This window comes from Homo sapiens, chromosome 15, assembly GCF_000001405.40.
Source record: "Homo sapiens chromosome 15, GRCh38.p14 Primary Assembly".
NCBI classification, from domain to species: domain Eukaryota; kingdom Metazoa; phylum Chordata; class Mammalia; order Primates; family Hominidae; genus Homo; species Homo sapiens.
This window is the reverse complement of record NC_000015.10, coordinates 22712703-22725820: the sequence shown is the minus strand read 5'-3', so window position 1 is coordinate 22725820 and position 13118 is coordinate 22712703. Positions and strand designations below refer to the sequence as shown.

The following is a 13118-nucleotide window of genomic DNA, read 5'->3' as shown; positions in this document are numbered from 1 at the left end:
AATGTGTACACCATGCAGGAGGCTGGACCCTGAGTGAGAATGACTGCCTGTAAAAACTGCCTGGCAATGGGAATGGCCAAAGAACTTTTGTCAATTGGTATGTCTAAGATTCAACTTTAAGCTGATTTCTATAGTGAGGTACAATCCTTCATTATTCTAACACTTAGGTAATGAACACATGAAAGAGAGAGAGAGGAGAGCAAGATTTAGAATCTTGATGAGAATCTGGTTTTTTGTTTGTTTTGTTTTGTTTTGTTTTGAGAAGGAGTCTCGCTCTGTTACCCAGGCTGGAATGCAGTGGCGCTATCTCGGCTCACTGCAAGCTCCACCTCCCGGGTTCACGCCATTCTCCTGCCTCAGCCTCCCAAGTAGCTGGGACTACAGGCACCCACCACCACACCTGGCTAATTTTTTGTATTTTTAGTAGAGACGGGGTTTCACCGTGTTAGCCAGGATGGTCTCGATCTCCTGACCTCGTGATCTGCCCGTCTCGGCCTCCCGAAGTGCTAGGATTACAGGTGTGAGCCACCGTGCCAGGCCGAGAATCTTAAAAATTATGTAACTTAAGTTTCTTCCTCATTCTTTTCCAGATTCTGAATAAAGGGGTGGGTTTGAGAGATGGAAAAAAACTTAAAATCAAAAGGTAGTCTTTGAAATTAAACACCATCATACCAGCCTGTGATTTTCCAAACATAGAAAAATCTTTTTAGCCTACTTCCTTCATTACCAAGAGCAAAACAAACCAAAACAGTAGATGCTAAGGTATAAACCTGATGCCACAAATGATACAGATCCAAACAAACACAAATATATACACACACACACACAGATTCAAAAATCACAACACTATAAATCCTAGGACCAATGAATCTAATTAAATCCCTTTTGTGTAATATCCCTATTAATATAGGACTAGAAGACATTTTATACTCAAAAATCCAAAAGTCTAAATGGCTTCCACATAGTCAACAACACAGGATTTCCACTAACTCCACCACACTACCATATGTGGCTTTAGGTAGCTCAAAACTGATTTCCAAAATGAAGTATATTTTTGAGAGTAACAACTCCCAGAGAAAAACAAGGGCACACATATAGAGTTCCATGCTCCTCAGGAACTGCTAGGTCTGATCTTGGACCCTCTCTTCTACTAGGTTCGGCCAGGATGAATATATCTGATGAGACCCACATACCTTATCAAGAAATGGCTGGAAAAGGCTAAAATCGTTTCTCATGTTCCCATTACTACAAAGTAAAAGCATGACAAGCTCTATACTTAAGTGTTTTGACTTGGTCAAACGCTAACACCGGGTTTGCTACAGTGTAAAATTAATCTAGAATGTAATCATTGATTCCATTTTCTTTTTATTCTTAAAAAAAAAAAGGTGGTTGGGGAAGAAATCACTGCTTTTCCATTGCGCAGGTACTTTGTGCTAGAGAGCATGTGTCATTTCCAGGGTCTCAGAAAAAGAACAGATGTATCTATGTGTAAACACAAACAGTAAGTTACAAGTTGCCCCTTAGTACTGAAGGCAAGAATCAGCATCAGTACTCAAAAAAGTGTTTTAAAAAGAGTGTAACTTACTCTTACTGACCCAGGCTAAACGGGCTCTGTCTGGTGCTTCTTTGTCTGCACATGGCCACCCACAGCCTGTCTTCTAATTAAATCAATGCTCCAGCAGCAGAACAAGCAAACAAGTTGCCTCCCATCTACGTACAGCTCTTCAGGATACATTTCCCTTGTTCAGAAGGTGGAAATTCTTGGGAGAGGTGATTTTCTCTGCCTCTTCACAAGAAGAACATGGATACTTGGTTGGATGCAACTCCATGAAGCATAACTGTGTGTGTACACCTCAAAAAATAAAAAATGCAGAGAAACATAAAGACTCCATAAACAGCTGGAATACACAGAAATACTGAAGCACCGCTGGGAATACTGCTAAACAGACAGGCAAAATAGGGTCTTTGAAATCATCAATAATACCAAGTTAAGAAAAAAAAAAGGAAAAAAGAGCACCTAAGGTCAAAACTCAAATTTCATGCAATGAAAACATTGTAAGTACTACAAAAGAAAAAAGGTAAATCTTCTACTTTACATACGTAGAAACACATCCCACTCCCCTTACAGAGAATAAAATATATTATCAATGGAAGAGAAAAATGAGATTTTCAAGGGTGGTAGGTCTAAAATTAGACTCACCAGCCACATTATAGTTAATGAGCACTTACATAAATGTGAGCTAAATGCATCAAGCTGTCTTTCCAGTGTGGTCAGCTGTACTGGGGGGCAGGGGGTGCTGGGGAAAGAGCAAGGGACCACTCTGCTTATGAAAACATAATTTCTACAAAAATAAAAATGTACAGGAAACGAGATGCTCGTTTATTTAAATAATTTTAAACTTCCCAAATCACAGAAACGACCTTAAAGTAGATGCCCCTCCTTTTTTGCAATAAAAACCAAATGACTGAAGTAGGGTAGGGAGCAGGGTGTGGTTAAGCATCTGCTCACAAGAAAACTTGTTATAAGTTTGGTGAGGGAAAAGGGAAATGTATCAGCTCTTTCCAATGTCCCCTTCCATCCTAGGTATGCCCATATGCCATCAGGAAGCCACACCATCTCCATGACCACTAGGCATTTCAAGGACTGGCAGGCCTTAGAAGTTTCTTCTATCCCCCTGAGGCACACAGACAATTCCAGCCAGAAGTATAAAGCCCAGGGAAGAGAATATGGCCTATTCCTGCAGCTGCGCAAGAGGCCTGCGCTGGGGTCCCCTCACAATAAACTACTCAAGTGTGACCAACATTCCCATTCTGGAGATCCCTGACTTAAAGAAATGCAGACCTGGCTGGGCACGGTGGCTCACACCTGTCATCCCAGCACTTTGGGAGGCCAAGGCAGATGGATCACTTGAGGCCAGGAGCTTGAGGACAGCCTGGGCAACGTGGCAAAACCCCGTCTCTACTAAAAACACAAAAAAATTAGCCAGGTGTGGTGGCGCACACCTGTAGTCCCAACTACTCAGGAGGCTGAGGCATGAAAATCGTTTGAACCTGGGAGGTAGAGATTGCAGTGAGCCGAGATCATACCACTGCACTCCAGCCTGGGCGACAGAGCGAGAATCTGTCTCAACAACAACAACAAAGATACAGACAAATGTATAACAGTATTATATATAATAATATAAATATATAATGAAAATACCTACTTTCTTTCTCTTACATACCAAAATATCAGTCATCTGAACAAGTTATTCTTAAAGGACTTCCCTAGAGTTTACAAGCAAGCAATATTTGTATTACACAGAGATCCAAAGACGATGAACTGTTTTTAACAGAATGACTAAAAACTTGGCCCAATATAATCTGCCCTATAAACGCTAAAGCATTTGGACAAGAAACGAGTTTTAACCATGAATTAGCATCTCCCCTGACCATAGGGAGCTTTAAAGCATGAATTAAGTGAGTAAAAAACTTCACAGTCCATTTTTAATAACAGAAGTTCAACAAAAGATTTTTAACAAAGGAACCTGTATAATTTGCCTTTTACTACATAAAACGTAAAAGCTATTCCTATCACTATTCTTTTTTTTTTTTCTTTTAGACGGAGTCTCAGTCCGTAGCCCAGGCTGGAGTGCAGTGGCGCAGTCTCAGTGCAGTCTCAGCTCACTGCAACCTCTGCCTCCTGGGTCCCAGTTCAAGCAATTCTTCTGCCTCAGCCTCCCAACTAGCTGGGATTACAGGAACACGCCACCACGCCCAGCTAATTTTTGTATTTTTATTAGAGATGGGGTTTCACCATATTGGCCAGGCTGGTCTTGATCTCCTGACCTCGTGATGCGTCCACTTCGGCCTCCCAAAGTGCTGGGATTACAGGCGTGAGCCACTGTGCCCGGCCCCATCACTATTCTTAATACACGGTATTCTACCTACCAAAATAATCAGTTTTCAGAATGAATTAACCAAAATTTCTCAAAGGTTACAACAAGATCTTCAAAACCTCTGCGAAATTCATCAGTTTTCTCACAAAAGATTATAAATTACCTTCCAAAAGTCTGTCATTCATATTTCACCTATTATTACTCATTAGACTTTTTTAAACCAGGTCTTTGTACTTTTTAAGAAAAACACCATTGTGCAAAAGGAGCTTCAGGCAGTATTTTATAAATAGTTCATTTTCTATCAGAATCCATGAAACACTTTCTACTTCAGAAACAATCCTAAGAAAATGGTAGCATCATGACTCACCCAGTTCTATATCCAATTTTCTCAAAAAAGAAATTCACATTAGAAGTTTTACCATGTGAAATATGCAAAATTATGGTCTGGAATCTTAAATCCACTGTCACTACTTGATCCAAAACTATTTCAAAAGCAGCCAAAAAAGCAACTGGCATTCAAATGTATAGTCCCAAATATGAAGACCAAATTCTTTCACAATATTAATCTTCTCTGCTGTGAGTGAAACCAGAGTTGTACCATCCAGTGAACAGAATTCACTTTCTCATCAGTTATTAAGATAATCTCAAAAAAGCTATATGAAACAACAGGAATGAATCAACTTACCAATAAATCATTAAAATATGATCTATAAACTGACCTTTCCATTTCCTTCCCTACATTTTGAAGATAAACAAAATATACTTTGGAGTAATATCATTTGCATTTCCACACTGCAGAAAACCTCTCATACAGAAGCAGCCACCTTCCCTCCCAAAATTCTAAAGGGAGAAGGTGGTCAATTTAATAGATAGGAACTTTTGCACCTGCCCCTCCTTTACTTAAATGAAGAAAACACCTCATTCTGTTGTCCAGAAGTGACAGTCTTAAGATGACATCACTTGTCTGTAGTGGTGGTAAAGAAAAATAAAACCACACAAAATTATCAGTCTCTAAGAAAAGCTAAAAAATGATATGTCTGCATAGTTCCCTTTAGTGTGTGTGGAACACACTACTATACACACACACACACACACACACACACACACACATTTCTTTTGCCTTGTCTCTTCCTCCTCCACTGCATGGAGTTAAGATCAGTATACTTTTCAATATTTGGGAAAATACAAATTATCACATTTTTAAAATATACGGCCAGATACTCTTTCTAGGCAATAAAGACCATTAAAACATTTCAGTCATTTCAATCCACAATTACTATTTAAGGAATTCATATCAATTTCAATATCTGCCTAAGTAATAATATAACGGGCAAGTTTTAAAAATATGTTTATGTATTGTTTCCTTAAGCTCAGTGGCAAGAACATCATTTTTTAAATCAAAAAGTATATCCCAAAGTCTAAAGAGAAAAGAACAATGACTGTTTGCATCTGTTCAATAATCCAGACATGACTTAACTGAATAGACTGACCAAAACTAAGATAAGTGTTTATTCTCAAATTAAACATAATGCATTATTAATAAGGCTCTCCAGAATTTTTCTCAGCACTTTTCAGTATTCTGAAAGGACTCAATACTGCTACTTATATTTCTCTAAGTACGGCAAATATTAGAATCCAATCTTCTTACATCTTTCCATTGACCCAAGCTATTACAATACTTCCCCAACTGAAGTCCATCTGAAAACCTATCCTGTTTTAAGGTAATGAATCACAATTATTCAAGGTGAGAGAAACTGCAGGGGGCAGTATAAGCATGATTTGCAACATAATTCTTAAGATTTAGGAAAATTCTTCCTGTTAGTGTAAGCTTAACCTTAAACTATTAACATATATTTCAATCAAAGAGTCCATAGAAAAGTTAATTGTTAAAGATAATTGAAATTCTTCCACAGATTTAATAATCAAAAGTTGAGGCCAGGCACAGTGGCTCACACCTGTAATTGCAGCACTTTGGGAGGCCGAGGTAGGTGGATCACCTGAGCTCAGGAGTTCAAGACCACCCTGGTCAACATGGTGAAACCCCATCTCTACTAAAAAAAAAAAAAAATACAAAAATTAGCTGGGTGTGGTGGTGCATGCCTGTAGTCCCAGCTACACGGGAAGCTGAGGCACAAGAATCACTTCAGCCTGGGAGGCAGAGGTTGCAGTGAGCCAAGATCGCACCACTGCACTCCAGCTTGGGCTACAGAGTGAGAATCCATCTCAAAAATATACATATATGTAAAATAAAATAATTGAAAGTTGAGGTGTGGGATGCACTAAAGTCACTTGGGGAAGAATTCTATGCTACCATTATCCTTATGACTTATTCCAATCAAAAATAATAGAACAAGAAATTGTTTTCCTTTAAATTCATATCCACACTCTTAAAAAAACACAAGTTATCCAAAACTATAAGTCCACTTACTCAGGAGAAACTCATTATTTCAAAATGTATTCTTATCATCTTTAAGTATAAATAAGTAAACCCCTTAAAAGTCAGATTCAACACTAGGGGAAAATAGAATGAAATATTAAACATGATATATAAGTATGACTTAGGAAAATTAAAGTTATTCTAAGATAAAAAGAGAAACTTAATTTTATTCAGTTTTGCATTCATGGTTGCCATTCTAGTATATTCTCCAGCTACTCAATAACCTTCTTTCCCAAACCTATGCTGACTCCATGCAAGTAATTTTCAACTAACAATTGAATTAGTTAAGTTAGATGAAGCCCTCTTTGTGTGTCTGTTTGGAGTAAAGGTAACATTTGGTGGTAAATACATCTATCTTCTTTCTTATGTCATTTTTCTCCTCTGATCCTCAACATATAATTAACCTTTCTTTGATGCTGTAAAACTTGTCATTAATAGTTACCATAAATATTCATCTCATACATACCACTTCCAAAGCACCTCATAACTGTAATAATTGCTAACAGTTATGGGTGCTTACTACGTACCACACACTGTTCTAAGAGACTGTCCTGTATTAGTCATATATGAACTCAGTTAATCTTCACAACTCTGTGAAGTGGGAATTATTATCCTCATAAATAGGGAAACTGAGTCAAGGACAGACTGTGCCACACCCATGGACACATGGCTAATGACTGGTAGAGCTGGCATGAAATGTATCAGTCATATTAGGAGGGCATCACACATCCCCATGTAAGATTCAATAGAACTAGGTGCCCACCATATACTTTCACCTTCCTTGACTACATTAGGACCAATCTGACATTACCAAGAGAAATTAAAATCTACAAAGCATGATCAAAAGCTCAGGTCCACAATTAAGCATGAGAATATACAGAAAACACAGCTAGGACTTTTGGTAAACACCTGGGCAATTTTCACAAGGAAAGGCATGAAAGGGTGCGTGCCCTGGTATGAGAGCCTGAATACAAGGGCCACAACCCAGTCAACCTGGAAATGTCGCCTTTAACTATCATCTCCTCCCTCAAACTCATCATTGTTTCGTCATCATGTCTTACTTGATTCCCTAAGGAGTATTCTCAACCAGAAAAATATTTTTCACGATAATCCTCTCAACTGATAGATACAAACCTATCTTCTCCAAGTTTGAGCAGCAAGTCAATCTTCTGAAGACCTCAACATCCCCTGCACGAATTCATCAAGGGTCCAAATCAAGAGAACTAAGAGGACCTCACTCTAGAGTATAAAAAATTATAGCAAACGTGAGAGCCTCCCCACTCAATTATTCGATGTCCACAGTAAACTGGGGACAAACCTAACCGTAACACTGGGACAAGGCACACTTCACAGCACACAATTTCAGGACATACATCTAACCGTTAGGTTCGTGAAGAATCTTCCCCTTCTACTTTAGGCACTTTGGACAGTTGGAATTTATTTTTAAACAACAGAACATACATCATTTTTTGGGGGTTAACTTCAAGGATTTTCCTACTGAAAATGAGAAACTTCAGTATCCAATCACTAACTTTTGTATTCACGAATCTCACAAAAAAAAAAATCAAGAAAAGAAAGGAATTTAACCAACTTTTATATTACTCAGAAAAGTCACCAATGAAAATAACAATATCATAGGCTTCTTCATAACTGTGCTAATACTGGTGGGCAACACTGGTCATATAATTTATGGTTGACTAACTCAACAGTTTCATGTCATTTAAGAACAACAAAGATAAACTCACTAATATTTTCAATAAAACAGAGAAAAGAAATACCTCAAGTTCCACCAGTGCTGCAGTGACTGCGTCAGTTGCAAGAGCACCGGCCTGCAGCTTTTCAATTGCCTATGAAACCAAGGGGAGAGATTATTCATTGCAAAATCACAACTTCTCAAACTTTCCAAAAGCTTAAAGAAGTATGGGAGACGCTTAGATTAATAAAAATTGACCACTAGTTCCATTCCATACTTTAAGACATAAACTACTCAGAGTAAAAACAAGCAAGTGTTTATATTCAGGTTAATTGGTAATATGGCTCACTTAATATTCTTCAAATTAAAACAATAACATCTAGCTATTAAATGAAAAGTACAAGGAATTTAGTTAGCTTAATTCATTGTAAGGCTATTCAAAATAGCCACAGAAATCGTATGACCCAGTTTGGTTCAAATATCCTGAGAATTCGTATTTTATATAGATAACTAAATCTCAAACGAATCATTTCTCCTCCCCGTTAGTACTCTCCATACCTAAAAAGAAGTGACTCTGAGTCACGGGGCGCCAGAATCTGAGGATAAAAGCACACATTTGACAAAAACATTTTGGATACTATAATGTAAATTCTAAATCAAGATGTAACATATTATTTTGTAATATAAACTACACAGAATAAAGGTCTATAAAATCACCTGGCCTTGAGCATAAATTAGGAGAGGAAAAGAGAGAGAAGGAAAAGTCATTTATAAATGAATTATTAACATTTCAATTTAGTCAACAAAGAGAAAGCTCAAAAACTAAGAACTGTATTCCTAATTAAACTTTTAAGAAGTGTATTCATTGGAAATATTAAAGAGGCTAAATACACAATTCAAATGTATTAGATTTCTAGGACTATAGTTATATAAAATTTATTTTCAGATGACAGAAAAATTTCACACTTTGAAAAATAAGAAAAAATATAAAACAGCTTAGAGAACTTTTAGCTTTATTATTATAAATTTCAAAAGAACAAAATCCCTGTAACAAAATATTCTTATTTATAGGGCTTCATTCATAAGAAAAAGCTTGAATCTCTGATAAAGTATAATCTTTTTAATGTTATGTAAATATCAATGAAAAGAGCAGAGAGAAACGCATATTTACTTGATATACAATATTCAACTAGATTCTATTTGCATAAAAAGTAATGGAAGGTTTGCCTACAAGACTAGTAAGAATCAAAATAAAAAACATTTCTTCTGAGTCCATTCCTGTCCCCACATTAAATATTCAACAATTTAGCAAAACCTCAAAAACCAATGGGAAAAAAGCACAACTGAGTACAAGGGCAAAGCTGAACTCTGCAATGACAATGAACTTGCTATGATACAAACTACGTGATGAAAAACAGAATGAAAAAGTATAGGACAATCTCTCTTAAAAAAGCACCCATTTTAATTTTTTTATTTATTTTTTTCCTTTCATGGAAAAACACACTGACTGCCTTCAAGCTGTTTTCTCTATCCTTCTGTCTACAGAAGTTCAACATCGTTGCAAAGATTAAAAGAGATATGATTGTGTGCCCACAATTACAAAAATACAGACTTTAATCTGGGAAGTGGGGAAAGAGCTAAGCATCATGTGGAGAAAGACACAAAACAACACAAAACGATCCCCTACAAAAACAAGCAAAATAATTTTGTAGTCCAAACCGGAAGACTGCCCTAGAAATGAAACTTTTAAATGTTGAATTTCTTTTTTTTTTTGGAGTTGCATACATTTTTTTAATCCAAAGAAGTCAGCCTCCTAAGTATTGCTTAAACAGGTTTATCAGAATTAAGTAGGCACGACACTCATACTTTCAGAAAAGCATTTCCAGCCAGGGGAGTAACGTGGCACTCACCAGCATGATATCTGTTTTGCCAACTTGCTGAGGAACGAGTAACCTGAAATGAAGAAGCGAGAATCCCATCCTCAGCCCCCCAACAGCTTCCTCAGCTTCTTTTTCTTCTGAGTCACTCTGAAACAGTCGCTGCATCTAAGACCAGCCTCGGGCTAAACCCAGCTGGCCTGAAGGCTCAACTCACATCAAACAGAGCTGGGAGTTACTTTTGCGTGTGTCCGCAGTTTGAAGTGTCCTCTCCGAAGGTGAAGTGGGGGAAGCAGGTGCGCTCTGGGATGAAGTGCAGGGAGGCAAACTCTGGCTGGGTTCCTGTAAACATCCATGGCAGTTGCAAATAATCAGAAGACAAGGCCAGGCCATCGGTGTGACGCTGCAGGCAGATGAGGTCTTGGGACGCCCCTTGCGTTCCCCCTTCTGTGGGAGCAGGTGCCTTCCCAACCTCAGCACTCAGTCCCAATCTCTCTTCCACTCTCCTGGGTCCAAACAGGAACCTCTCTGTTGGCACGAAGCTTTTGAGGGGAGCAGGCAGGCCTCGGAGGCAGGGGAGGGTCTCCTCCTGGGGAACCATCCCCGTCCAGATGGTGCCCCCAACCAGCTGTGGCGCCATGATCTGGGCGGCTGGTCCAGGGCGTGGGTTGCGGATCGTGGAGGGAAGAGGGGAACGGCAGTCGAGACCCTACTCCAAGTACCCATCAAAGACGTCGAGCTCCGAGTCAGCATCGTAAAGGCCCGAGCCGGGGTCGGAGAGCACGCCGAGGTCCACGAGCGCCTGGTCCATGTCCTCGAACAGGAAGACGAGGCCCACGTTGAGGACGATGTACTCCATGAGGAAGGCGTAGTACAGGATCAGCACATTGACGAAGAACAGGCCCACGTAGAACATAGAGGGCAGCAGCGGCGGCGGCACGTAGGGGACCAGGGGGCCCAGTGCGTCCAGGTGGGCCGCGACCCGGGCGCCGAGCATGCAGCCGGTGGCAAGGGCGGCGGCGGCCCGGCGATCCCGGCGAACTCAGCCGCTGTGGCGCCCGGGCGGCCGGCGAGGGCACAGCGCAGCCATCCAGGGGTACCCTGGAGCCCGACAGAAGCAGGGCCGGGCTCCAGATGTCTCCTGGCAAATGCGCCCCGACCCCCGAAATGCGCCGGGCGGGTCACCGCACCCCGAGATGTGCCCCCAAGGCTCTTTCGACCGCCGTGAAGTGGCGGGCCCCCTTGAAGTGGCCGGCGGCTGCCCGGCTCCCTCGAGGCGCCTCCCTGGCGCTCGCAGGGGCCTCGCAGAGCCGGCGGGGATCCCACCGCGGCTCAGTGTCTAGGGCCGGTCCCGGCAGCCCTCTCTCCCGCCCGGCTCCGCAGGTCCTAGCGTCCCCCTCCCCCCCGCGCCCCTGCAGGCCCAGCACCCATGGCTGCGGCCGCGGCGTCGTCCTCCGGGTCGCGCTCAGAGCCACTGCTTTATGTTCAAAACTGAAACGCATAGATCATACACATTGCGTTGATACCCTCTGACAAGCTCGTTTGCATACATGTTTATATTCCTTGGCTTTGGATTCAGAATGATAAACTGCACCTATAGTAGAAAATAAAATCCAGTTGTTAATTGTTAAAGTATCAAGAGACCTTGCTTATGTTATATAAATACTCCAATAAACTGATGCTGTCCTAGTAAAAAACAAAACTATTGCCCTAACTGTATGGAGTTTTATGACTTCTTTCTCCAATGTAAGCCTTTTTAATACCATGCCTTATCTCCGTTTTCAAAAGCTCTTTTCCTGCCAAAAGCCCTAAAAATAGCTCATGTCCCCAGAGGCTTCACCAAGGTCACCTCCCCTCTTCTTTTCAAGAAGCTTTTTTCCAAATCAGGAGTTCTTTTGATCTGGAGCTGACAACCCAGAAGGTGTCAGGGACAGGGTCCCTCCAGGTTCCTCTCTGCTGAAAGCCCCTGCCATTTGGGAAGTTACTGTTTCAAATCCAGAATTCATAAGAATAATTCAGAAAGCTGGATTGCTTCTGAACAACATTGGAAGTTGAGGCATCTTACATCTCACATGTCCACAACCACCACCAATTGCACCATTCCTAAGCAAACACTTCACGTCCTCTCAATAAAGTTGCTAGATTAGTCTCATTTCTTAAAAAGCTGTTTTTTGACAAAATGGGAGAAAATTTTCGCAACCTACTCATCTCACAAAGGGCTAATATCCAGAATCTACAATGAACTCCAACAAATTTACAAGAAAAATACAAGCAACCCCATCAAAAAGTGGGCAAAGGATATGAACAGACACTTCTCAAAAGAAGACATTTATGCAGCCAAAAAGCACATGAAAAAATGCTCATCACTGGCCATCAGAGAAATGCAAATCAAAACCACAATGAGATACCATCTCACACCAGTTAGAATGGCGATCATTAAAAAGTCAGGAAACAACAGGTGCTGGAGAGGATGTGGAGAAAGAGGAACACTTTTACACTGTTGGTGGGACTGTAAACTAGTTCAACCATTGTGGAAGTCAGTGTGTCTAAATCCTCAGGGATCTAGAACTAGAAATACCATTTGACCCAGCCATCCCATTACTGGGTATATACCCAAAGGACTATAAATCATGCTGCTATAAAGACACATGCACACATATGTTTATTGTAGCACTATTCACAATAGCAAAGACTTGGAACCAACTCAAATGTCTAACAATGATAGACTGGATTAAGAAAATGTGGCACATATACACCAGGGAATACTATGCAGCCATAAAAAATGATGAGTTCATGTCCTTTGTAGGGACATGGATGAAACTGGAAACCATCATTCTCAGCAAACTATCACAAGGACAAAAAAACAAACACCGCATGTTCTCACTCATAGGTGGGAATTGAAGAATGAGAACACATGGACACAGGAAGGGGAACATCACACACCGGGGCCTGTTGTGGGGTGGGGGGGAGGGGGAGGGATAGCATTAGGAGATATACCTAATGCTAAATGACTAGTGAATGGGTGCAGCACACCAACATGGCACATGTATACATATGTAACTAACCTGCACTTTGTGCACATGTACCCTAAAACTTAAAGTATAATAATAATAAAATTTTTAAAAAAAGTTGCTTTTTGGTAGTTTATATGTAACACTGTAGTTTTATATGTACTTGCAAATAGCTATAGTACCAGTAAAAAATGTGATAAAATGAAACTCTTTCACATGTGC

General features: G+C 40.3%; 1 pseudogene; it reads right to left on the bottom strand.

Moving 5' to 3' along the window:
- LOC100133165 (Dexi homolog (mouse) pseudogene) lies at window positions 9780–11352 on the bottom strand (annotated as a pseudogene).